The sequence below is a fragment of the Homo sapiens genome, chromosome 5, assembly GCF_000001405.40.
Source record: "Homo sapiens chromosome 5, GRCh38.p14 Primary Assembly".
In the NCBI taxonomy this organism is placed as follows: Eukaryota; Metazoa; Chordata; class Mammalia; order Primates; family Hominidae; genus Homo; species Homo sapiens.
Window position 1 is genome coordinate 55,616,624 of NC_000005.10, and position 27,937 is coordinate 55,644,560.

At 38.5% G+C, this 27,937-nt stretch overlaps 1 protein-coding gene across 47 annotated transcripts in view, besides 2 other annotated features; it reads right to left on the bottom strand.

The window, feature by feature from the left end:
• Window positions 8,719–9,533: an enhancer, noted in NCBI's record as "NANOG-H3K27ac-H3K4me1 hESC enhancer chr5:54921170-54921984 (GRCh37/hg19 assembly coordinates)". NCBI's record gives its function as "activates a minimal SCP1, AML or CMV promoter by ChIP-STARR-seq in naive H9 embryonic stem cells {active_cell/tissue: H9 hESC(naive)}" and the evidence as "EXISTENCE:reporter gene assay evidence [ECO:0000049][PMID:30033119]".
• The window catches only part of SLC38A9 (solute carrier family 38 member 9), an 86,491-nt gene continuing 67,775 nt past the window's right edge, over window positions 9,222–27,937 (bottom strand). For 32 of the 47 annotated variants that reach the window (NM_001282429.1, XM_047416799.1, XM_047416796.1 and 29 more), the window contains 4 exons: window positions 18,921–19,034; window positions 17,131–17,279; window positions 11,268–11,357; window positions 9,222–10,036 (listed from right to left, as the gene is read on the bottom strand). In NM_001282429.1, coding sequence (NP_001269358.1) covers window positions 9,871–10,036; window positions 11,268–11,357; window positions 17,131–17,279; window positions 18,921–19,034 — 519 coding nt within the window. In that variant the 3' untranslated portion in view covers window positions 9,222–9,870. Of the gene's footprint in view, window positions 10,037–11,267; window positions 11,358–17,071; window positions 17,280–18,920; window positions 19,035–22,524; window positions 22,648–27,937 lie in introns of those variants that run through there. The other 15 variants (XM_047416789.1, XM_017009081.2, XM_017009077.2 and 12 more) reach the window with 7 other exon arrangements.
• Window positions 25,540–26,039: an enhancer, noted in NCBI's record as "H3K4me1 hESC enhancer chr5:54937991-54938490 (GRCh37/hg19 assembly coordinates)". NCBI's record gives its function as "activates a minimal SCP1, AML or CMV promoter by ChIP-STARR-seq in naive H9 embryonic stem cells {active_cell/tissue: H9 hESC(naive)}" and the evidence as "EXISTENCE:reporter gene assay evidence [ECO:0000049][PMID:30033119]".

The following is a 27,937-nucleotide window of genomic DNA, read 5'->3' on the forward strand; positions in this document are numbered from 1 at the left end:
CCCTCAGCTAAACCTTAAAGTACTTACAGAATCAGGAAGGAGCCATCTATACCAATTTTAAGTTAATATGGACTGAATGAGGTCTTATTAATAGCAAAGAATAATTGATATCCCAAACTTACAAGGTTTTCAACAGAAGTAAAGTTTGCTAAAAGTTAACAGTATAAAATGTGTTATCCTAACTTCAAAGCTTGTGGAAATCAGACCCTATCAGTACCCCTCAAAGCTCAAGTCAGTTAGCACAGAGCCATACAACTAATACCCCTACTTAAAGGGTTAGGAATGGCCACTGCTACAGGAACCAGAATAGCCAGTTTATCTACTTCACTATCCTACTACCACACACTCTCAAAAGATTTCTGACAGTTTACAAGAAATAACAAAATCTATCCTTACTCTACAATCCCAAATAGACTCTTTGGCAGCAGTAACTCTCCAAAACCGCCAAGGCCTAGACCTCCTCACTGCTGAGAAAGGAGGACTGTGCACCTTCTTAGGGGAAGAGTGTTGCTTTTACACTAACCAGTCAGGGATAGTATGAGACACTGCCTGGCATTTACAGGAAAAGGCTTCTGAATCAGACAACACCTTTCAAACTCTTATACCAACCTCTGGAGTTGGGCAACATGGCTTCTCCCCTTTCTAGGTCCCGTGACAGCCATCTTGCTATTACTCACCTTCGGGCCCTGTATTTTTAACCTGCTTGTCAAATTTGTTTCCTCCAGGATGGAGGCCATCAAGCTACAGATGGTCTTACAAATGGAACCCCAAATGAGCTCAACTCAAAACTTCTACTGAGGACCCCTGGATCTTTGACTGGCCTAGAGAGTTCCCCTCTGGAGGACACTACCACTGCAGGGCCCCTTCTTCGCCCCTATCCAGCAGAAGTAGCTAGAGTGGTCATTGCCCAATTCCCAACAGTAGTTGGGGTGTCATGTTTAGAGGGGGGATTGAGAGGTGAAGCCAGCTGGACTTCTGGGTCAGGAGGGGGACTTGAAGAACTTTTCTGTAGCTAGCTAGAGGTTTGTAAAATGGACCAATCAGCACCCTGTAAAATGGACCAATCAGTGCTCTGTAAAATGGACCAATCAGCAGGACATGGATGGGGACAAATAAGGGAATAAAAGCTGGCCGCCCCAGTCAGCAGCGGCAACCTGCTTGGGTCCCCTTTCACGCTGTGGAAGCTTTGTTCTTTGGCTCTTCACAATAAATCTGCTCACTCTGGATCTGTGCAACCTTTAAGAGCTGTAATGCTCACCGCAAAGGTCCGCACCTTCATTCTTGAAGTCAGCGAGACCAAGAACCCACTGGAAGGAACCAACTCTGGATGCAGGACTGCAGACACATGCCACCATGCCTGGCAAATTTTTTAATTTTTAGGAGAGATGAGGTCTTGATATGTTGCCCAAGCTGGTCTTGAACTCCTGGGCTCAAGTGATCCTCCTGCCTTGGCCTCTCAAAGTGTTAGGATTACAGATGTGAGCCACCATGTTCAGCCCTGTGCCTATTTTTCTACTGGGGCACTGAAGGATTTTACAGAGAAAGGCATAGTCAGTTTCATATTAATTAAAGATAACTCTGGCAGCACTAGAAATGATGGCTCTATCTTTGCATTTCCAACTCTAGGACAATGAGTAAAAGTTTACTGCATTGGATTGGGCTTTAATCTATCTGCAATAAAGGTTTTATATATAATACAGCACCGAGGAGTGATAAAATTATTTATGTGAATTAAGTCTTAGTTTCCTCTCCTCAAGGAGTGTCATAAATTTCTAATTTAGTTTCTAAAAAAAACTTAACATTAATCCTTTAAAGCTGGGCACTTTCGTGCAGTAGAATTAGATCCTTTCTGGAACAAGGTGGAGTATAAAGAAATGTTGCCTTACTCTAATGTTGCTCTTGGTTGTTTGTTTTATGCGTCAAGAGCCCTTAAAAGGTTCCTCATCGCTAAGATAGACTAATACTAGAAACTCTTTGAAAATTAAACCGTTCTTTGAATTCTTCAATATTGCTGAAAGTATCTCTTAAAAGACCCATACCCAGGTAAAAACTTTCCAATCTAAAAAAGAAAAATGTCCTACTTTGATCTCAACCATTACTGAATTTGTATCCCATGCTATTTTGCTAAATCCAATTTAACTGTTCCAGAAATAATGCTTAGGTTTGGTAAAAGTTGCAGTTCTTAAAGGTAGTGGAGAAACTCAGAGCTTGACATAATCAAACAAGGTGACTGAAACATTTCTTCTTATTCCTCCTTCTAACATTCCTTCCAGTTGCCCCTGCGCAGAGTGGTTTGTGGATGGTTTGCCTTAAAGCTGCTGTCAAGGCTCCTCACTTGCATGGGCTCCTTTTTTTTTTTTTTTTTTTAAACGGAGTCTCACTCTTGTTGCCCAGGCTGGAGTGTAGTGGTGCGATCTCAGCTCACTGCAACGTCTGCCTCCTGGGTTCAAGCGATTCTCCTGCCTCAACTTCCTGAATAGCAGGGATTACAGGCACCCGCCATCATCCATGCCTGGCTAATTTTTGTATTTTTAATAGAGTCTGGGTTTTGCCATGTTGGCCAGGCTGGTCTTGAACTCCTGACCTCAGCTGATCCGCCCGCCTTGGCCTCCCAAAGTGCTGGGATTACAGGTGTGAGCCACTGCACCCGGTCGGCCTCCTTTCTAATTTGGGACTCCTAATGTTGTGTATCTCCTTAAAGAGATAACTCCAAACTGTATAAGCCTCAGGCCCCACAAAACCTGAATCTACCCCTTTCACCAAGGATCTTTCTCACCTATCCTAAAGGTTCTCCGTCGGTAGGTTCTTGATTTAATGGGTTGACTGTAGCTATATTTCTACAAGTCTTCTTTTCCATGATTTATCTTAGACAGACATCTTTTTAGAAAAATCTGTTAAATAATAAAGTAATAACATAAATGAGTCACTTAGAATCCCCCATAAAACGTCATTCATGTTCATTCTGTGACCACATAACCTTATGTGATTATCATTAACCTAGGTTTTTTGTTGTCGTTTTTTTTTTTTGCTCTGTCACCCAAGCTGGAGTGCAGTAGTACAATCACAGCTCATTGCAGCCTTGAACTCCTGGCCTCAAGCGATCCTCTCGCTTTGGCCTCCTAAGTAGCTAGGACTACAGGCAAGTGTGTCACCATGCCTGGTTAACTTTCTGTTATTATTTTCAGAGACAGCGTCTCATTATGTTGCACAAGCTGGTCTCAAACTCCTGGCCTCAAGTGATCCTCCCACCTCAGCCTCCTGAGTACCTGGGATTACAAGTGCAAGCTACGGCACCCAGCTCTAACTTTTTAAAAGCAGTTTTATTTTGATAAAAATGATTCACTTTACAGAGACCTACTTACTGCAACATTGTCCTATATTCTTCTCTTCAAAACATGTGTATGATGTGGCCACAGCACAGCATTCAGTTGAGACAGGCAGCAGGAAGGGGCAATAGCCTGGCATTTCGGTGACACCTGGAAGGATGACCTGGTTGTTGATGCCTAGAGGTTGGTGAGGGATATTAAAGTGTCAGAGCCACATCTGGCTTGTTCACCACTGTATGCTCAGTGCTTAGCATAAGGTCTGGCAACCAGTCAGTACTTAGTTATTGACTGAATGACTAATATTGAACCTGCTGACCCCAATTTTATTTTGTAATGGTTTTGGGGCTATGGAACAACATCCTAGATAATAGCAATTACCTTATTATTTTCCATAAAGAATCCTGACTAGTTAATTAATTGATTAAACAAGTGTATATTGAGTGCCTACTATGACCAAACAATAGGATCACTTGGGATTGAGAGAGAGCCAAAGGAGGAAAAATCTGGAGTGTGAGCAATTTCCCATCCCCATCGCAGGCCTGTACTTTATGGCCTGAGATAAGTAAGAATGGCCAGGCGCAGTGGCTCAGGCCTGTAATCCCAGCACTCCGCAAAGCTGAGCTGGGGTGGGTCACTTGAGGTCAGGAGTTTGAGAGAGACCAGCCTGGCCAACATGGCAAAACCCCGTCTCTACTGAAAACACAAAAATTAGCTGGTTGTGGTGGCTGGCTCCTGTTATTCCATCTACTTGGGAGGCTGAAGCAGGAGAATTGCTTAAACTCGGGAGGTGGAAGTTGCAGTGAGCCAAGATTGCACCACTGTACTCCAGCCTGGGTAACAGAGCGAGACTCCATCTCAAAAGAGAATAGAGAAGTTGAAAAAGACATAGCCTTATTTTATTTTTGCCGAAGAGATGGAACATAAAAATAATACTGGGGAAGAAGTAATAGTACTTAGAGAAGGGGGAAAATTAGAGCCCTCTATTGGCTTAAGTGGCTCTGGAGGATTAGGACATCAAGCTCTTCCAGGAACTAGGCTCTACTTAACATTCATCGGAAATATTCTTAGAGGGAGAGGTCACAACAGTATATTGTCCTAAAGATATAGTCATTTTAGGTTTCAGTTAACATAATGTAATGCCTTTCTTTAGGATCAGAACACTTTGCGGGGCTCCTTGGGGCCTGATGTGAGGCACAGGGGCAAAGTCACTTGAGAAGTTTGACCCGGCGAAAGATGGAACCCAGCTTCTTCCTGACCTTGGGGCCAGTGCTACCAAGCAATAATATTTCCCAGCAAAATTCAATTAAACAAAATCCCAGAGTTGTTTTCCTTCAAATTATCTTTGATTTAATTTCTTCTTTTATATAAAAGACAACAAATTACATTTCAGAGAACAATGTTTAGGTTATAAGGTTCCCGTCAGAGCTGTTTCACAACACGTGTTTACATAATCTGAAGTGAAGGCAGCAGTGGACTGTAAAACCGGCCAGCCAGGCCAGTTTGTGTGCATCTAGGGGATTAATTTCACTTTGGGTCACAAACTAATGTAACATTCTACTGTTTAGGTGTCAACTAGATTTGGATTTGGTTTTGGATATTCTAATGGGGATGAAATTGAGTTTAGAAAAAACAAAAACCACCACCACCAGATTCTAAAAAGCAATTAGGTCAGTGCTTTGTAAAGAAAACATACAACATCAATATTTTCTGCTCTTATCAATGAGTTCAAACATTTGACACTTTGAATACTGATATTTAAATAAGTCAAATCTTTGGTGAGAAAAACTTATGCATTTTTCTGTTTGTACCACCCAATGTGTTACTAATTATTTGCCCTATTAATCCATTGTGCTTTGCTGTCCAAGATTAACAGAATAATGCAATGTGTTCAAAATGCAAAGAGAATAAATAGCATACAGAAGCATTAAACAAGTCGCAGAAAACTTATCTTAGAGGAAATTTACCAAACTAAAAGCGAATACATTTAACCTATATGATTGCATTTGCTGGTGAAGGTACCAAATATTAAATTTTGGACAGTTATGAGGAGGAACCTGAAAATGGGTCGTTGCTGCTTGACCTCTCGGCTTCTTTTATCAACCCTCCTCAAGGCTCCCAACTGAAAGGGATCTGTTTCTCTAATAGTCCTCAGTATAAATTGCTTTGCATCATAGTTAATTATATACACAGTTCCTTTACTAGATTAAAAGTTCATTTCAGATATGAATGATGTCTTATACATCTTTATCTCCTCCAAAGCACTGGACAGAAAAGTCTTTTACTTCTATAGTTAGTAGCTGCATTGCATTTGCAAAATATACTTAATATAAATAAAGTATTTCCCTTTAATATAGTCCCCTTTTATGAATAAATTTATTCCTTACATCAAAGCATTTTTTGGGTGTGATAATAAAATTGATTTTGGATGATCACCCACAGGTGTCAAACTTAATTTTCTTTGTCCTTTCTGGCTATTAGCATACCACATATTCATATATAGACTTTCTAAGGAAGACCCCTCTAAATAATCCATATTTTACTTAATAATATCCTCAGTTGTATGTTAAGCTAAATTCAAGAGTTAAGCATGAGAGCAAAAAGTGAAAGAAATTCAATTAGAAAATTCAAAGAGATGACAGCAGACAAAGAAGGTCTAAAATTAGTTGAGATATGAATGACTTCATATCTCATCATTCTAATGTGTGGGCCAGGATATACACACTTACAAAGAGTTCTCTGACCAAGCCAAATAATAGGCCAAAGAGTTGATCTCATGAAAAAAAAACTTAAGAAGGCAAAGTCATACAGCGTAAGTCTAATACAAGATTTTAGAAGTTCTAAATTATCGAGTCTTTTTTTCTTTTTTTTGAGATGGAGTTTCACTCTTGTTGCCCAGGCTGGAGTGCAATGGCACGATCTCAGCTCACTGCAACCTCTGCCTCCCGGGTTCAAGCGATTCTCCTGCCTCAGCCTACTGAGTACCTGGGATTATAGGCACACGCCACCACGCCCGGCTAATTTTGTATTTTTAGTGGAGATGGGGGTTTCTCCATGTTGGTCAGGCTAGTCTCAAACTCCCGACCTCAGGTGATCTGCCTGCCTCGGCCTCCCAAAGTGCTGGGATTACAGGTGTGAGCCACCACACCCAGCCAATTATTTTTTTCTTTAATTAAAAAAATTGTTTTTTTGAGACAGGGTCTTACTCTGTTGCTCAGGCCGGAGTACAGTGGCACAATCAGGGCTCATTGATGTCCTGGGCTCAAGCAATCCTCTCACCTCAGCTTCCTGGGTACCTGGGACTACAGCTGCATGACACTGTGCCCAGCTAATTTTTTTTAAATTTATTTTTTTGTAGAGACAGGGTCTCACTATGTTGTCCTGGCTGGTCTTGAACTCCTGGGCTCAAGTGATCCTCCCACCTCAGTCTTCCAAGAGCTGGGATCACAGCTGTGCCCACATCAAGTCTTTTCGTTTTGTTTTGTTTTTTGAGATGGAATTTCGCTTTTGTCACCCAGGCTGGAGTGCAGTGGCGTGATCTTGGCTCACTGCAACCTCCGCCTCCTGGGTTCAAGCAATTCTCCTGCCTCAGCCTCCTGAGTAGCTGGGATTACAGGTGCACGCCACCACGCCCAACTAATTCTTGTATTTTTAGTAAAGACGGGGTTTCACTGTGTTGGCGAGGCTGAGTCTTGAACTCCTGGCCTCATGTGATCCGCCCACCTTGGCCTCCTAAAGTGCTGGGATTACAGGCATGAGCCACCATGCCCGGCCTCACATCAAGTCTTTTAAAGAAACAATAGCAAAGATTCACATTGTCTTTTAGTTTAGTAAATACCTCATTCATTGTCATATTCACTTAGTTCATTAAATGGACAAAAATATATTAAATCATTTTTTCCATGTGTTAAAACATTCAAGTACATTATTGAAAAGTGGCAATGAAACTCTGTCTCCACCTCTCAAAGAACTGGGATGACAGGCATGAGCCACAGTGCCCAGCCCTGTTTCTGAAGTTTTTACAGAGAAGGAAGGTGACTGGGGATAAACTGGGATTAAGCCTAGATCGCTCCCAGTGCTGTCTGGCTTTTGAATCCTATGTCTCTTAACTGAATAAGATTCTGAAGTCATAAAGATTCAGGGGCTCTCAAGCACAGAGAAGCACTTTCTCCATTCATTATACTCCTTTTCTAAGAGAAATTAACACAGTGATCTGACACCTACTGCAGAATTTTCCAATTAACCGAACTCCTACTACCAGCAATTTATGTGAACAAAAACTTTTGAGACTATTTCCATCAATGTAACTATGTTCAAAAGGCTATTACTAATAGCTGTAAATTAAGGTTTGTAGTGATGAAATAACATCTGAGATTGACAATATTTCAGTGGAAAAGAAAAAAAAAGATAGGTGAAGCAAATACAGCCAAGTTTTATAATTATTAATCTAGGGGATAGGCATTGTGAGGTTCACCGTATTACTCCATGTTACTTTTGTGTGGGCTTGAGATTTTCATAATGAGACTTTTTATTAAAACAAACGAGCTTTAGGAAATACAGTTCATCATTAATATAGGTCTATGGCTTTATGAATAGGACAGAAAGCTTTGCTGAAAGAAATTAAGGCTGATCTTGAATCTGGGCTCCTTACTAGGTTTGCAAAAACCATTTTTCTTTTTCAAAGGAAGGAAATAACACAAATCCATACACTATCTGAGAGGTGAACATACAATAGATTTTTAAACTTTAGCTTAAAATTAGAGAAATCTAATTTTTTCAGAAAAAAAAAATCACCATGTTGTATCCTGACCTGGACACAGAGGCTGTATTACTTGGAAAACGTGAATGTGGATACTAGTTTAGCTTTTAGTTCAGAAGAAATAAGGGAAGAGCGTCGATTCCAAGGATCCAGATTCCTTAATCTTTTTCTCAGATTTAAGGAGTTTTTCTCACAGGGTTTTAACTCTGTACTGTCAGAGGCATGTGAACCAGAGCAACTCCTGTCTTGAATAGCAGCTGGGTAAAATGAGGCTGAGACCTGCCAGGCTGCATTCTCAGATGGTTAAGGCATTCTAGGTCACAGGATAAGACAGGAGGTCGGCACAAGATTCAGGTCATAAAGATCTTGCTGATAAAACAGGTTGCAGTAAAGAAGCCGACTAAAACCCACCAAAACCAAGATGGCAATGAGAGTGACCTCTGGTCTTCTCACTGCTACACCCCCACCAGCGCCATGACAGTTTACAAATGCCATGGCAATGTCAGGACGTTAGCCTATATGGTCTGAAAGGGGCAGGCATGAATAATCCACCCCTTGATTAGCATATCACCAAGAAATAACCATAAAAATGGGCAGCCAGCAGCCCTCGGGGCTGCTTTGTCTATGGAGTAGCCATTCTTTTATTCCTTTACTTTCCTAATAAACTTGCTTTCACTTTACTCTGTGGACCTGCCTGGAATTCTTTCTTGCGCAAGATCCAAGAACCTTCTCTCACGGTCTGGATCAGGACCCCTTTCCTGTAACAGTACTGCCAGTTACAGAAGTAAGCAGATGGAGGTCTCTTTCTGAAGGTCATACCTCAAACAAAATCAATCCTTTTTTGTGGTGCAGAAACCAGTCCACCCCCAGAGGACACAAAATATGCTGGGCTGAGGCCTCTTCCTCCCTGGCCCCTTCTCTGTTCGCCGTCTCCCCTATGGGCCTCTCAGGCTCCTCTCTGCCATGCTTTCCCCACTGGGTCCATCATGACAGCCTACGCTGGGATCTCAGGGATCCAAAAAGCAAAAGCACCCCCTGGGTCTATGGGGACAATCATTCTTGTTCTTATGCAAAGTCTGGCTTGGGGAACTGTAATTTCGATCTAAGTCACTGGTACTGGATTAGAAATAAAAGAGGAGTTAGACAGCAACAAACTCTCCTACTTTATTTATTTTGTATACATTTCATGATCCTGGGGATTACATTGACATTACTTTTGTCTCTACTTTTTCTTCAAATAGAGATTAAGACTCAGTTAAAAATGTACTTTATTAACACTGATGCCATGAAAACTTCTTTTTAAAAATGAGGTATTTGGCTTACTGTCCCAAACAGTAGAGGTTTGGGCAAACTGCAGAAATGGTCTAGTAAGTAAGAAAATGAAAGTGAATACACTGAAACATAAAACAGAAGCAGGATTTGACAATATGCTGCTCTGACACCCTGAGAATCTTTACTGCAGGCAAAATAAATCCACCACCTTTTATCTCTAAAAGCAAAACCCAGCATGATTTCTTCCTAGGGCATACATTTCTATTCAGAAAAGACCACAGAATAAAGAGGTGAGTTAATATGAGAAAGGTAAAGACACTAAGATCATTCTTTTTGCCCCTTTCCCCACCCCAATAAAAAAATACTCATTAAGGGGCCACTATTTCCCTTGCTTTCAAATTATCTTAGAAAATATTTAGAATTACACAACAGCAGCATTTACAAGTGAATTTATATAGAACTGTTGTCAAGGCTCAAAATATCATGAGAGCTCTTGAAAAAAACAGTTGAGGTATTTCACATAAAAAACTGAACAATCAGGTTAGCCACGCCCAAAATGATGATGAAAACGTGGAAGATTAATTTAGGCCATGTCAGACGCTCTTCTTGGTGGAGGGAAATTATATAGATGAGAGATGGGTATATGAATACAAAGGCCAGTCCACATGCTGCTCCTGAATATCTGCAAAATAAAAGCTTTTGGGGTTAATATTCATCTTGCACTTTGCTTTTTACAATTAAGGTAAACATAGTACAATTTAAATCCTCCTCAGTCTGATAGCTCAACAAAAATTATTTTTGATTCATTTGTTGTTGACATAAAACATCTGGGTTTAAAACTTACTTTACTTGCTAAGTTAATATAAAATATGATTTCCTGCTCATCTTTATAGCATCTGCTTAACAAAGACTTTTTATTCATCCCTCAAATCTCTGTAGTTCCTCTGTATTTGGTGATTGTGGCTACTTCCTCAGAAACATCTGGAGCTAGGCCTCCTATCTTTGATCTTTTATAAACTAATTACTCATTCTCAGTTTTTGAGGGACCGTTAGCATCCCGGTTTAAGTATAAGAACAGATAAATGCTACCATGGCATTCAGCATGATTACGAAAGATAATAACAAAAATACTTAAACATGAGACTGTGACAGAGAAATATGCACTTTCTTCTCCTTTTCTCTATACTTGGGTTTTCTTGAGGAACAGTTCAATAGGAACTGGTAAGCCCTTTATATTCAATAAGCATCAGGCTAACAATCTCCCCTTCTTGTTCCTTGTTACTTTCTTAGGTAAGAGTGTTCCAAAAAAAATGACTCCTTCCTGCTGTCCATAGTAAGAGAAATCAGATCATTCTAAATCCCAATTTCCCATGAGAATTTGAGGTACAACTTTATTCCTACTCTATTCATCCTGTCACGTTTTTAGGAAAAGGATATTAAAGAAAGCCATCTAGGGTCTAAATTCTTACTTAAACTCTTACTTTTTGACTACAATTGACATTGAAAAATACTTTTGAGTAGAAATGGATTAAGGAACTTAGAATGGATTAAGGAAGCTCTGACAAATAAAGGACCTCCCAGGTAATCCCAAAAAGTTATACATATATTAAAAATAACTTTTTATTTTGGATATAGAGAGGAAATAAAGTGGAAGATGATGAGAGAAAGAAAAAGAAAATGATGCCTGAGGCTAAGGGATAATGGAGCTTCTAGAGTGAGTTCTCCACCAGAACAAACAGAAAGGGAAGATAATGAGCATCTTAACTGATACCAAGGGGCTGCATTTGAATATTACTAGTTTTAAATACTCATAGGAATTTCATACAATTAAATTAAAACAACAACAACAACAGGAAAAGCCTGAAAATAAAGACCAATATATGTAAGGGCACCATTCCCTTACAAGGCAGTACCTTATGATCCCTCCTATGTTTGGGTAGAAACAGGCCATGATCACTCCAGCTCCCACAATAATTAGATTAAGAATCAGCACATGGAAAATGCTAGAAGTTGAGAAGAGAGTTTGGAAGAAAGAAAAAATATAAAAATAGGCAAATTATAACCACTAATATGAGACTACAGTTCATTCTTAACATCGTTAAAATCAAAATGTCTTAAGCTTGATAAAATCACAGCAAAAATAGAAGGTAACAGTAGTCCTCAATTGTGGTAACGAGAAAGTGAAATTAGCTCTTCTGTGCAATTATACTGGTTAAATTTTGTAGAAGTACACTGGTAGTGTGTATCAGAATTCACATTCTTTGATCTATTATTCCATTTGGAATATCTTGAGAAAATAATCCAAACAATGAAAATGCTATGAATATCAAGATATTTATGAAAAAACAGAAGAATCCTGGACATAGCAAGACAATAATTTACTTGACAGAATATGTTAAAAATTATTTAAAATAACTTATCACCATTACCTTGTCAGGTAAAATACTATCTAGGCAATTCAGAAAAAAAGCCAGCTAGGTTTTCACTACACAAGAAAACCCCAAAAACATTTGGAAAAAAAAATCAGAAGGATATACACTGAGAAGGCAGTAGTGATTTTGTTACAATTTGGGGTTTTGGATAACATTGCCTCTTTCTATATTTAACAAACTTTTCATAAAGTGTTCAAATTACTTTTATATTAAACACATTATATTAAGGGAAAGACAAAATGGGCAGGTTTTTATCTTCCAGATTTAACCACTTAAAGAAAGTGGTCATACTTCATACTTTGACCATAAAGAAAGAACTTAAAGCTACTCACTACCATGAAGAGAATATTTACTAAATACTTTAACTAGATATTAACAATTCAAGGTTTGGGAAACAATTTTGGACACAAACAAAAATAATGTAGATGAAAATTTGATGCTGAAGAAAGAACTCCATTTCCCCTGAAAATGATTCTCAAAAGCCAAATGTACACATCAAAGCAACCCTTTGGGCCCAAGTCATCAGAGGTTAATTAATCCCAGATAAAGATTACAGAGAATTAGAAACAAAGAAAATTATTTATATAAATAAGTGGTTAGTCATATACCCTGATGAATTAGAAAGATATTAGGGCTTACAGATCTTACTGTTTACCCAGAAACTCTAACCTTAAAATTGCTTCAGAGCTTTGAGGTATTGGCTGGGCTTTTGTTATTTCTGCATTATAAACGGAAACAACTTTGTATACACAGAGGGAGGCAGTTGCATCCATCTGTATTCCTTTTCTAAAATTTTAATTAATTATTATTATTTTTTTAAGAGACAGGGTCTTGCTCTGTCATCCAGGCTGCAGTGCAGTGGGGCAATAATGGCTTACTGAAGGCTTGAACTTCTGGGCTCAAACCAACCTCCTGAATAGCTGGGACTACAGGTGTGTGTCACCATGACCGGCTAACACCCATGCTTTCTATACTCTATTCTTTAATGCCAAACACTCTCCAAAGTATAAAAAAAGTCCTTGATAAAGGAGTAGAACATTAATTTTGCTAAATCTCATGTTTGAATATATATCCTTTAAATATTCTATGTGATCAAATAGGAAAGTCATAATAAAGCACATCTGCGCGTACTGCAGTACAGTACGCTGGAAGTCTTGAGGAAAAGTACCTGTGTGGCTGAGCTGAAGGGGACCTAGCTGTTTTGCCTACCAAATGCTACTTTTACTTGAATTGCAGTCAAACTATGGTCATTCAAACTCAGGTGTTTGACAGAGATTTTCCAGAAAAATGAATTATATAAGCTTGTCACTTATATAATTCAAGGAAAACAACTGGCAGTATTTGTTGCCAAAGATAAAATTAAAGTTTTCAAATAAAAACTAGAATTTTGGAAAACTTGTATTTGCTACCCTGAGCTTGACAGTTTCCCAATGTTTAAAGGCTCTTGTGATGAAATTAGTGATAGTATTAATGAAAGTGGGTTTTGATATTGTAAAATGAAGTGTGTCAACATTTGGAAGATCCACAGAACTCAGTGAACCAATATTTTCCAAATGATCAAACAGATGTTACAAAATCATGCATGCGTAAAAGATCCAAAGTGCACGATAGACCAATTGGTTTTAATGTAAACAAGTTTCAGATTCCACGATGCAACTCATAAGAAGCTACCACTCGTCAGGTTTTGGCACAGTATCAAAGAAGAATATCCACAATTATATGAAAAAGCTATTAAAAGTACTCCTTCTTTTTCCAACTATCTATGTGAGGCTGGATTTTCTTCACAAATCTAAACGAAAACAGGATATTATAACATGGAATGCAGAAGTAGAGAGGAGAATCAATTGTCTGCTAGTAAAACAAACATCAGAGTTTTGCAAATGTAAATTAAAGGGTTTTTTTGTTTGTTTGTTTTTGTTTTTTTTTGAGATGGAGTCTCGCTCTGTCACCCAGGCTGGAGTGCAGTGGTGCCATCTTGGCTCACTGCAACCTCCGCCTCCTGGGTTCAAGCAATTCTCCTACCTCAGCCTCCCGAGTACCTGGGATTACAAGCGCCTGCCACTACGCCAGGCTAATTTCTGTATTTTTAGTAGAGATGGGGTTTCACCATGGTGGCCAGGATGGTCTCGATCTCCTGACCTCATGATCCACCCGCCTTGGCCTCCCAAAGTGCTGGGATTACAGGTGTGAGCCACCACGAACGGCTAAATTAAAAATTTTTTGAAAGCAGTTATTTTTATTTTTTTAAATTTTGGTGGGTACATAGTAGGTGTATATATTTATGGGGCACATAAGATGTTTTCATACAGGCATGTAATACATAATAATCACATCATGGAGACTGGGGTATCCATCCCCTGAAAGTGTTTTTTTACAAAAATGTTACTTATGTTAACAAGTAATGGTTTTATTATTGATTTTAAACAAATTAAAAATACTTTGCTGGGCACGGTGGCTCATGCCTGTAATACCAGCACTTTGGGAGGCTGAGGCAGGCAGATCACCTGAGGTCAGGAGTTCAAGACCAGCCTGCCCAACATGGCGAAACACCATCTTTACTAAAAACACAAAAAATTAGGCAGACATGGTGGTGGGTGCCTGTAATCCCAGCTACTCGGGAGGCTGAGGTAGGAGAATTGCTTGAACCCAGGAGGCAGGGGTTGCAGTGAGCCAAGATCATGCCACTGCACTCCAGCCTGGGCGACAAGAGTGAAACTCCGTCTCAAAAAAACGAAAAACAAAAAACCTAAATTCTATTTTTTAATATTTAAATACTGATAGCTATACCTGCATAAACTAAAGCTCCTGGAGTCCTCAATACATTTTTAAGAGCATAAAGGGTCCTGAGACCAAAAATTATGCTCCAAAGTATGCACACTCTATAAAGTGCTTATAACTGTCGGATAAATGAAAATGACAATGTGTTCTTGGTGGTAGGGGAAGAACTGTAATGTGAAAACAAAAGGGAAATCTCTGACTTTTTCCAAGAAGAAAAAACATTATTGTAAAGATAGCCACATTCTGCAAAATAATGGTAGAAAACAGGAATAATGTATTTGCTTAGCATTTTTTCATCTATGACTTCACTGTATTTATTTTCTTTGATGAATATAAATACAGCAGAGTAGAAACACAATCAGAGGCTTACATTTATTGAGCTCCAATCTTCTGGATAATAACACTAGAACCATAGCTGCTGCTATACTTATCAGTGCTTGAGACCTGGTAACTCCTGACTTTTGCTTTGTTTTGAAACCAACATATTTATGGCAAAAATTATTTATCGAAGAAGCAGACTACATCAGTTCATTTTAAACAAGAACTGATTAAGACCACTTGTTTAGTTGCTTACTGTAAATGCAATTTTTTTCAAATTTTATTTAAGTTATCTTTCTTTAAAAGAACATATGCCTAATAAAAGTGGACTAGGTTCTTTTCACTAAGATGAACCTATAAAAAGACTTAATGTAAGGGTAGGAGTTAACCAAAGGTCCACAAGAAGGCTGCTGGGAAACTCTGAAATGACATATAGAAATTTCTCTTGAAAAAAAAAAAGAAATTTCTCTTGGATGAGGGTAACCAGCTTTGAAAAGATTTTCAAAAGAACTCACAACTCCTTCATCCCTAATAAGAGGTTAACAATTATAGCAGTAATTTAAACTTGTTATATATCAAATAAAAATTAATTATATATCTGACCTTCAATTCTAAACAATTGATCATTTATGTAAAATTGCATAAATGTAGGCCGGGTGCAGTGGCTCACGCCGGTAATCCCAGCACTTTGGAAGGCTGAGGCGGGCGGATTACAAGGTCAGGAGATTGAGACCATCCTGGCTAACACAGTGAAACCCCACCACTACTAAAAAATACAAAAAATTAGCCGGGCATGGTGGTGGGCGCCTGTAGTCCCAGCTACTCAGGAGGCTGAGGCAGGAGAATGGCGTGAACCCGGGAGGTGGAGCTTGCAGTGAGCCGAGATCGCGCCACTGCACTCCAGCCTGGGCGGCAGAGCGAGACTCAGTCTCAGAAAACAAAAACAAACAACAACAACAACAAAAACTGCATAAATGTTAATGAATATAAAAGTAAGGATTGTTGGACTCAGAAAACCATACCCTAAAATGAAAGCCTCAGAAACAAAAGTTTTTCTCTGACCTTCTGAATCTCAGTCCCATTCTCCCGAAGCTATCTTAGAAACTAGAATCCCTCTTCCCCAAAGTGGAACATGGAAACCTTTTCCCTCAAGCTGGCCGTAAAACCTAAAAATATCACTCCAATTTCCCACTATTTCTGTGTAAAAACTAGCCATAAAGAAATGATCTGACCTGTCTTGTTTGACTGCAGGTCATAAGACTCCCATTCCAGAGAGGGTCCTGCCCCAGACGCAGATGAAAAAAACACATGCTCAGAGAGGCTAAGAATCTAGACAGAGGGGCCTTGCTGGAGTTCCCCACTCAGTCTATTAGCATTAGACATGGCTGTTCACATAAACATAACCATAAAAAAGGACAATTTCCCCTGTATCTTTGGGTCTTCTTTCTAAAGGCTCCCATGTAACATAAAACCACATTCAAATACATTTATATGCCTTTTCTCCTTTTTTTTTTTCTTTTGGAGTCAGGGTCTCACTGTATCACCCAGAGCAGTGGCGTGATCTCAGCTCACTGCAGCCTCGATCTCCCGGGCTCAAACGATCCTCCTCCTCCCACCTCAGCCTCCTGAGTAACTGGGACTACAAGCATGCCCACTATGCTCGGCTGATTTTTTAAAATTTTGTAGAGATGGAGTTTCAGTATGTTGCCCAGGCTGGTCTTGAACTCCTGGGCTCAAGCGATCCACACACCTTGGCCTCCAAAAGTGCTAGGATTACAGGCATGAGCCACTGAGCCGGGCCCTTTTTGCCTATTAATCTGCCTCTTGTCGGTCATTTTCAACAAAACTTCAGAGGGCAAAGGGGAAGTTTTCCCTTGGCCCTGATAGTTTCAATGACCAATAATTAAAAGTGTTGCTTCTCATTAGCTACACATTGCCAACATAGGTACTATACACTATAAACTTCTTGACAATATGTAAATCAATAGCAATTAAATAATAAGATAAATATAAATGGTATCGGAGCTAATTAACTATACTGGAAGGAATGAACTTTAAATCATTCTAGACAAGGGAGTGGCTTCTATTTTTAAAGCTCTTCAGGGAAGAGGACACCAATGATCTATCTTTAGTCACCACTTGCATTAGGCATTTTTATAGCAAAAGGATCAGTCACACTTTAAACTGACCTGCTTGCACAGTCATTTGTTGCTTGGCACATCCTGCTGGTCAAGAGAAGAGCCCTTACCTAGGATAAATGTCACCGAAGATATGGCCCAAAAGCTGGACACGAGCCAGGTAGCCTAAGAGTGGGTATACAGTCATCATCTGGAACAGCAGGAATATCCTTGCAATGAAGGACAGGGTGTCACTGCTAGGGAAGTTGTCTAAAAAATTCTAATCCAAGAAAGATAATGAGGTCATGTTAAAAATCAAATTCAGTACACACATTCATAAAATGGAATGTCTTCTGCTTATTTTGAACACAGGTGCTACTCCGATTGTGGTTTGTGGACTAGTGCCCATCCACAACTACTTGTTAAGTATTTTTTCAATGAGGTAAGTATAGAAACCGAAAGTGTTCAGAAACTTTTACAGGAATCTGACATTGCCACAATTTTATTCTATTTTACAAAAGTATCAGCCTGCAATTTATTTAACATTAAAGCAACAGCAAAGACAATTTTGTCCTTCACCACAGATAGATCGAGAAAGCATTGCTTTATGTGGTTCAAGGAAAATACCAGTCCACTTTAAAGATGTAAAGAGCTAATTTAATTCAGTGTTATTTTACCCTCTCTGGCTCTGCTGCTTTCCTCCTCTGAAGCACTGTAAGCACTTTTGAAGTAAAGATGACAGAATAAGGTGAGAGTATGTCTATCACCTACTACATCATTGTTTAGTCTATCACTAAATTTAAAAGGATTTATCTCTACTTCCTTTCATGACCCTTTTCTCCATTTTGGTTTGGTATCTTAAAAAAAAGTTAATTACTTAGAATTTTTATCTTTTCTTTCAAATACAAATACCACAAATATTCCTATTCCCAAGGGAGTAGGCTTTGTATGAGTTTGTTCATATCAGGGAAATTGCCAGCAAACATTTGGCTGCCAAAGAACTTCTGGAGTCAAGGAAATCAAGAAAATAAGAACATTTCCAAGCTGCCATAATAGCAGTAATTCAAACTTATTTCTCTTATAAAGATGAGAACACTATTAACATTATTTTGCTGAAATAACCATTATAATTCAGCTGTAATAAATCACATTAGTATATTCCATTGTACTCTATAAGAGGAATTTCTTCTGACCAGAAAGTCACTTGTGAAATGTTGTTTTTTGTGAGAAACTCTTCAGTCACTTATAACTAAAGACTATACTATTGCTAAGTTTTTGATGGGTTAAATCAAAGAAAATATTAGTTATGGCAATCTTTTATTAAAATATTTTTTTCTTTTACTCTGTCTCTCTTTTTTTTTTTTTTTAACCCTCTGGTGACTCATAGGACATCTCTCTCTCTTTTTTTAACAGCCAAATACTCTTTTTTTGTTTTGCTGCCTGTCACTCAATATAAGAATGAGAGTCTGATTAATCATTAGAGTCTGATAAACAAAGACTCTAGTTTATCCAGGGCATTCCTGATACAGGCTTTTAAAAATAGGGAGTTCCTTCAATGTATTCTCTGTGGTTTTATAACTACATGAGAACTACTTGTACCAGTTCCCCACAAAAAGAGAAATATATGTACATAATAGTAGACATTTATTTGAGTACCACAAGGTGCCTGGCATGTAGTACATTATCTCAGAGTCCATCTAAAAATCAAATGGGGGTACTTATTATACTATTTAATGGAAAAGAAAAATAAAGCTCAGAAAGAAAAGGGAAGGTGCCTAAATTCCCATACTTGGAGTAGATAGCAGAGATGGTATTAAAACCCAGGCCTATCTGATGTTATATCTTGCCACTGTATCACCCTACCTACTATAAATACATGAAAGTGTACACAATCACACAGAGAGGGTACACGGTGCCTTACCTGCTCAATACAATCTTTGGATAATGGTGGTGAAGGAAATGAAGCAAAAACCAGGACTCCAATATAGAGATAAGTTAATGTCACCAGCATATAAGCAATGCACAAGTCCCTCACCTGTAAATACAGAACAAAAGTCCCATAATACTGAAGAACCTTGTAGTAAGTCTACCTTAATAGGCTAAGGAGACTAACAAATAAATATAAAATTTGTCTTTTTACCTTGTACATGTGTGTATATACTTCTAGATATTCAATTTGTTCACAGAAAGTAGTTAAAACAAAATCCACACACTTTACAATTAGTCTGGCAATTTTTTTTAAAAAAGTACTCTGAAGTATGTAGACTAAGCTACCTGTTGGCAGACTTAGAAGTTAACATAGTGGTTTAACATGACTGAAATTCTGACTTAATTTCAAAAGATAATTTAGTTGCCAAATTACAAAATATTTAACTACAATAATAAAGCTAAGGGACAACAAGAAAGTAAGCATAGCCACTTCAGTATGGTCTGCAACATTTTAAAAATTCGTCCTTTGGTAAATTAACTTATATTATTAAAACATGCCTAGACCACAGCAGAGCAGAACATACTAAAATATATTTAATAAAGAAAGAAAGCTAGTTAAAGAACAGACAACAAGCAGTATTAAAGACAAGCTTAATAAATCTAAACAGTAAACAAAAGGAAATCAAAAGGCAGCTGTTCAAACAGCTGCACAATGTTACTGGAATCAGCAAACAAATGCAGAACATTAAATAAAGCGGACTGCTTTCTTCTATTGCGGTTCCCACCCTCCCAACCTCCCATATCCATGCAAAGTAAAAAGCTCCAAGATATTTAATGTAGCCAGCTGTCAGATCCAAACAGAACAGATTCCCCAGCTCAAAAATCTGGTCTTCATCACCACTGAAGTTATGGCCAAACAATTCAGCACAATTAAATTATGGCAACAAGCCTATTCATTTTTCATTTTAAACAAAAATTACTCTGAAAGCTAAGGAAACAAATTAGAAAAAAATAAACTTAAAAACATTTGATAGCACAATAAAAAAACTGGACATTTGGTATTAGGGAACATTTCTGACTTTTTGGATTACTTTCTTCCTTAAATGGGCTAGCTAACGTAGTAGAGTTTTATAAACTTGAATGTTGACAAATTCAGTTAAAAAGCAAGTAACAAGTTATGAGAAATCTTAAGGTCAGGTCTAAATTGACAATCAGCTTGAAAGTAAGTTAAGGGTTTTAAACCCTAAATTAGATGGTGGATAAGCCCATGGAGCTAAAGGCTTATGCAGATTGGTTCCAGCCCTCTCAAAATGCGTCTAATTGCTTAGGAATGAGGAAGAGGATGACCGGGCACAGTTTCAAAATCATTCCTCTTTAGTTCATGAAGCTCTAGGTCTGACGGGAGGCCAGAGTTCAGTCACCCCTAGGGTTGCCTCATGATCTTGTGTGGGATGAACAGCAATGAACCAGGCCAAATCTACTTTTTTGTCAAAAGTAGTAGTTTCCCATTATGATGGCTGAAAGTCATTCTACACTCAACCTACTCAATGCCACTCAAGAACAGAGGTAGCCTTGTAAAAAAATCTTGGGAGGCAAAGCAGCTGGGCCTGAGACAGCTCTCTGTAAAGTGGGACAGCCACCATCCCATAGACAGTTTTCAGCTTATCTACTACCTGATCACCACGTTATTTTGGTCTGACATCTTGCAAAGAAGTGTACCATAGCATACCTAGGGGGAAATCTGATTAAGATGCAAAGGCTATGGTGCACAGCTTCCAACAAGACTTTTCCCTTCCGCTTCTCTGTTCTCACGGCACTATATACTTATCTCAAATTCAGCAACTATTCTACTGTATTGTGACAGTCATTAATTTTTATTATAAAAGTAAACCATGTGCATGATATAAAGAATTTCAAGTGGAAATAAAATGTCCCTTGACATCCCTAAAATAGCCAAGGTTAATAGTTCTTGCATCATGTTGGTATTTTTTCTTCAAATGTGTCTGTACCACAAGACTCTGGGATTCTGAGGAGAGAGACCACGTCTTTTTCTTCTTTGTATCCCCAATACCCAGGACCACGCCTGGTACATAGGAGGAACTTGGTAAATGTAGATAAAGAATAATAGCCACACTGGCTTTATTAAGTGCTTGTAGGTGCCAGGCTATATTGCTAAGCACATTACAAGTGTCATCTCATTTAATCCTCATTGCAACCTTATAATGTAGATACTGTCATTTTCTTCATTTTACAGATGTAAACTAAGTGCAGCAAGGTTACAAAACTCGTTTGTGGCTGCAAAGTGAGTATCTGGTGAAACCAATATTCAAATCAAGATCTTTTTAGTTCCAAATTGCAGGTCCTTAGCTACTATGATGGGGAGCTGACCAGTCTCCAGTGCAATTGTGTCATAGTTAATAAACAATAATAATAAAAAAAAAGAGAGGTAACAAGTTATGAGTAACAACTATACAACAGAACACATACAGGGATGCTTCCATTTTGAGATACTAAAATCAGAAAAGTTTTATTTCACAGTACTCCAACATACCTTAAGTAAAAGTGGCTCAGGAGCTGCATATGTGTTTTCATCTGAATACTCCAATGAACAGAAATTATGCTTTTATTATAAAAGCAGCTGAGGTTTAGCATGACACTGGGAAACATGCCACTTATGAACAGTATACACATATGTGGGCTTTGCTATTCTCTGGCTCAAACACAAGCCATTAGGCCTAAAGATATAGCCTATTTAATGGAATAGCCTTGAAAGCCCATTTAATGGAACAGGATAGAAAAAAGCTATTATTTAGAAAACGAGGCTCAAAGTAAAAAATATATTTAAAAAGAGACACAAGCGACAATATAAGCTGGTAATTATGTCAAGAAGCCTATACATTAATAAGGTAACTGACTCTGTCTTGTGAATAAGAAATGGCTGGCAGGGTTGACGGTAGAAAACTAAAGACAGGTAGAATGCCAAGTCAGAATGAAAACTGGATCTACAACAGGCCCAGAAGTAGGTTTGGGAACACATTCTGTTTGTCAGACATGGTTTATTATTTGTTCCACGTACCGTTCATAGTGAAAATACTATTCAGTGGAGCATTTACTAACAAAAATGACAGAAACTGACCACACAGACTGACCCCAAACATTTACATAACTTCTCCTGGTATATAGCCAAGTAAACCACAGATTCATATGAAGAAGGAAAAAGTAAATAACAAATCACAATATGAGGTATTTCAAATCGTTTTAAAGAACAAAGCAGGGTAATACAACTAAACACAGACAAAACAAAACCAAACAAAAGAAGCACTTAGAGGTTCTGATTCAAATACAATGAGGAAATATCAAGAGGTCAATCCACACAACCAGGAGGGTTATAGGGACTACATATTCTGGTGATAAACTAGTTGGATGGTCTTCAGCTCCCTAATCCCCTTTTTTTGGTAAGATACGACAAAAGAATAGAAATGATGGCCAGGCGCGGTGGTTCACGCCTGTAATCCCAACACTTTGGGAGGCCGAGGCGGGCGGATCACCCCATTTCTACTAAAAATACAAAAGTAGCCAGACGTGGTGGTACATGCCTGTTATCTCAGCTACTTGGGAGGCTGAGGCAGGAGAACTGCTTGAACCGGGAAGGCGGAGGTTGCAGCGAGCCAAGATGGTGCCACTGCACTCCAGCCTGGGCAACAAGAACGAAACTCTGTCTAAAAAAAAAAAAAAAAAAAAAAGAATAGAAATGATATCCCATTTACACATATAACAAACTGCATTTCGTGGGAAAAAAAAATGTATGAAATGAAGTTGAACTTGGAAAACCTGGAAAATTTGCTCACTACACCTATTTAGGAGTTTGTTTCTTTCTTTGCAAATGTCTTTAGTTCAAGTCCAGCTATAGTTTATACAGAAGAGGAGGCCTTTTCTATTCTTTTGTCTTCTTTTCTATTTTCAAACTCTTGTTTACTGAGCTTGGAATGATCCAGTATCCACATTATGAATTCAGAGTCCCTGGCAAGCTTTACATTTTCTGACTTTAATCTCAAGAAAATATTATGCCATGATATTAACAGGACTTCTTTCAAAGTACTTACTGAAACTTGCTTAAAGGTATAATCATTAAATAAATGAAATGACAAAAAGTTTTTCTCAGAATATAGTACCCATTTAGGTTGATTTTTGCTAACATAAAAGCCAATTTCAGTATAATCAAAAAGAGAGTATATATATTTACATATAGTCAAAGTGTTTAGAATGTTGCTGGCACATAGTGCTTCATAAATGTTAGCTTTATCCTTAGTAATTATTAATATTTTAAGAAGTTAACATGAAGTACAACTAGTTTTTTGAAAGGTAGACCATCACTTCATAACCCAATTTCAATTAAGACAGTAAAAAAAAAAAAATCCATTTAAACCTTTGCTTTTTTTTTTTTTTTTTTTTGAGATGGAGTCTCGCTCTGTCACCCAGGCTGGAGGGCAGTGGTGTGATCTCAGCTCACTGCAACCTCTGCCTCCTGGGTTCAAGTGATTCTCCTGTCTCAGCCTCCCAAGTAGCTGGGATTGGAGGGGCCCACCACCATGCTCGGCTAATTTCTGTATTTTTAGTAGAGACGGGGTTTTGCCATGTTGGCCAGGCTGGTCTCAAACTCCTGACCTCAGGTGATCCAACCACCTCAGCCTCCCAAAGTGCTGGAATTACAGGTGTGAGCTACCATGCCCAGCCATTTAAACCTTTGCTTTTAAGCCTTTGTTTTAAAAATAGTTTCCACAAGTGACAAAAGGTGAATCAAATTGTATTAGCTGAACCTAACATAATAGTTCTACAAAGCCCTAGTCCTAATACTAAGTGGAAAGAACTCATTTTATGGTATTTACATATGAAATACGGATTTCAAGGCCCACTGAGTGTTCTACTAAGAAAGGCAAAGACATGTCCTCAGTCTTTGGGAGACCATGCATTAAGAACGCCCATCTCAGTCCAGCCCTGAGCTTCTCACAATGGGGCGTATACATCTCCAGATAAACTGGTGTGACTTTCCAGAAAAGCAATTCAACTTGAGAATTTTGGCGAGTGAAAAGTTAAGCACAGACAGTCCTCACTTTGCAGGGTAGTATGAGATTATAAAAATTACTATGCAACCTGAAACTGTGCAAAGTGATCACAATAATCAATGGGAAAAATTATAATTGTTCTAAGATCTTTAACAATTGTCAAAACATTAAATACTCTTACTGTCAGTTATAAATGTATAGGGAAATGAAGAAAAAGTAAAATATGTATATATATTTTTGAGACAGAGTTTCACTCTTGTTGCCCATGCTGGAGTGCAACAGTGTGATCTCGGCTCACTGCAACCTCCGCCTGCCAGGTTCAAGCGATTCTCCTGCCTCAGCCTCCCTACTAGCTGGGATTACAGGCATGTGCCACCACGCCCAGCTAATTTTTTTTGTATTTTTAGTAGAGATGGGGTTTCTCCATGTTGGTCAGGCTGGTCTCGAACTCCCAACCTCAGGTGATCCACGCACCTCGGCCTCCCAAAGTGCTGGGATTACAGGCATGAGCCACCATGCCCGGCCAACATCTTTTAAAGTACATTGCAATGTCAAAAATATTGAGCTTAAAATATTTTATTTTTTGGTAAAAACCTACCAAGAGTAGTCTGAACTATGTTCGCCTCCTTCTTCTCACTGTATAACTTAACAATATGGAGCAGGCATCTTTTCCATGCCTTGGTGAACTGCCATACTCCTTTATCCTTACTGTGCACCAGCTTCTAACATTTCATCTTTTGTGCTTTCAATGTTGTGAGACATCTCTGAGAATTCGATTAATGTGAAGTTTTCTGACAATGTCAATTCCTCTGGGATATCTTCATTCTTGTAATCATAACCACTTTCTGAATGCACGTTGATAAGCTCACCTTCCTTAAGTTTCTCTAGCTGCATATCTGGAGTCTCTTGTATGGCAGCAGTGTCAACATTTCCACAGTTGGCTATTTCTTTTATAACTCTCTATATAGAGTTCAATTCAAATTTCACTTCTTGCATTATTGTTTTGTTTCATTGTAGCACTTTGTTTGACAATTCCCCATTCAAGTATCCATTTTTTGTAAAATATCATGTCAGTTTATCACTGGGAGACAAGGAGTTAACACAACTATCTGCTTTGCAGACTGTACAGTGAAAAACATACACAGTGACCAGTCATTGACAGACTTTGAAAGAAGTTATGTGATTGGTTACTAATTATCACGTGCACTTGTTATTTATGTAGTGCTTTGTGAAGTGAGGGCTAGCAGCTACTACTTTACAAGTACTAATAGTTCAAATTCTTTGGTAACTGAGATTTGAACAAATGTTGTTAGGAGGAACTGATGTAATTTAACTAAACCAGATTAATGAAACTGGTGCATGTAAGAACCATGCAACATGAGAACTGCCTGTAATCTAACTCATTTTGAGCCCTTCCCCTTCCCCTTTCCCTTCCTTGTTTCTTTTTTGAGACGGAGTCTCACTCTTGTCACCCAGGCTGGAGTGCAGTGGCGCGATCTCGGCTCACCACAACATCCACCTCCCAGGTTCAAGTGATTCTCCTGCCTCAGCCTCCTGAGTAGTGGGGACTACAGGCATGTGCCACCACACCCGGCTAATTTTTTGTATTTTTAGTAGAGACGGGGTTTCACTGTGTTAGCCAGGAAGGTCTCAATCTCCTGACCTTGTGATCCGCCCGCCTCAGCTTCCCAAAGTGTTGGGATTACAGGCGTGAGCCACCGTGCCCAGCCTGAGACTGTTTTCTAGTAATACAAACAAATAATGAGCATGATAAAAATATGTGTAAATGTTTAAGATAAAACATGACACTTCAATAAGATTGTGTTTGTCTTCCCTAGATTCCTAGGTACATGAGGTTGTTCTGTTATTAGGGAGACTTTGGTGGTAAAGTTTGAGAAGCACAGCTTTATGGATAGGATCATCCAATACATGAGAATTCTACTTAACAAAATGAGTTTCTAGGGCACTTGGGCTAACTTGGCTTACAAGAACAGACTGTAAATATCAGGAAAGAAAGGGTAAGAGGGGTAAAAATACTAAAAATTTCCAGCCTCTATTGTATGTTAGATCATGTTAACATCACAACCCTGATAGGTAGCTATAATTTTTACATATGACAAAAATGGAATTTGAGATCAGTTCACCAAGATAGGAAGTATGAAAAATCCAGATTGACTCAAGTCCAACTCCATTTACAGGTAACATGCTACATGTATGGTCAGTAAAGATGAAGATGGAAAAGCTTAATTTATATTTTTGCTCTAGAGAGCTTACTTCCTCTACTTAGAAAGGTTTTTGCCTTCTTAATGACTGCCAAACATTACCCCTTACTCAAAGCCTTCTCAGAATCTCCAGGCACAGCAAATCCTTCCTTCTTTTGCATTTCAGTAACAACTGTATAGACCTCTATTAGAACTTCATTATGACTTTTGTTTACAAGGTCAGAAGCTGTTAAATTGAGCACAAAATCTGCAGACAAGCCAACAAGTAACTGGTTAACTTTTGTTTGCCTTGGGTTTAGTTTGCTTTACTTTTTCTATCGTCTAAGGTAGAAAGTTAGGTTTTTCAGATCTTCATTTTTAGTGTAGGTGTTTACAGCTATACATTTCCCTGTAAGCACTGCTTTAAGTAAACTCAAAGTAGTTCTAATTTTTCTTGTGATTTCTTCTTTGACCCATTGGTTATTTAAGAGTATGCTGTTCAATTTCCACAATTTGTGAATTTCCCAAATTTCTTTCTGTTATTGATTTGTATCTTCACTCCATTATGGTTAGAGAACATACTCTGTATGATTTAAATCCTTTCAAATTTATTGAGAATTGTTTTATGACCCAGCATATGGTCTATCTTGGAAAATGTTCTTATGTATTTAAGAAGAATGTGCATTCCGCAGTTGAGAGAAAACTTTATAAATATATATTAGATTAAATAGGTTGACAGTGTTTTTCATGCTTCCTCTACCCTTACTGATTTTAATCTATTTGTTCTATCAATTACTTGAAGGAGGGTGATAAAACGTCCAATTATAATTGTGGATTTGTCTACTTCTCTTTTCAGTTTTGCAATTGTTAATTCATTTATTTTGAAGCTCTGTCACTGGGTACATATACATTTAGGATTATTATGTCTTCTTGATGAACTGATCCCTACAGATCATTATGTAAAGTTCCTCTTTATCTCTGGCAATACTGCCAGTTCTAAAGTCTATTTCATCTGATATCAATTTGGCCACTCCAGCTTTCTTATGTTTAATATTTGCATGGTATATCTTTATGTTTAATATAAATTCCTTGTAGACAACATATAGTTAGGCTTTGTTTTTTAACAAGTCTGAAAATCTCTTTTATTTATTTATTTATTTTTTGAGATGGAGTGTTGCTCTGTTGCTCAGGCTGGAGTGCAGTGGCACGATCTCTGCTCACTGCAACCTCCACCCCTTGGGTTCAAGTAATTCTCCTGCCTCAGCCTCCTGAGTAGCTGGGATGACAGGTGTGCACCACCATGCCTGGCTAATTTTTGTATTTTTAGTAGAGACAGGGTTTCACCATGTTGGCCAGGCTGGTCTCGAACACCTGGCCTCAAGTTATCCACCTGCCTCAGCCTCTCAAAGTGGTGGGATTATAGGTGTGAGCCACCACACCTGGCCTCTTTTAATCTTTTAACTGCAGAGTCTTTTAATGTAATTATCAATACAATGGGTTTAAATCTACTATGTTGCTATTTGTTTTCTATTTGTCACTATTTGTTTTCTATTTGTCACATCTATTCTTTGGTCCCTTTTCCATGGCTTCTTTTGGATCAGTTGCATTTTTTGTTTGTTTGTTTTTGTGAGATGGAGTCTGGATCTGTTGCCCAGGCTGAAGTGCAGTGGCTATCTCGGCTCACTGCAACCTCTGCCTCCCAGTTCAAGCAATTCTCTGCCTCAGCTTCCTGAGTTGCTGGGATT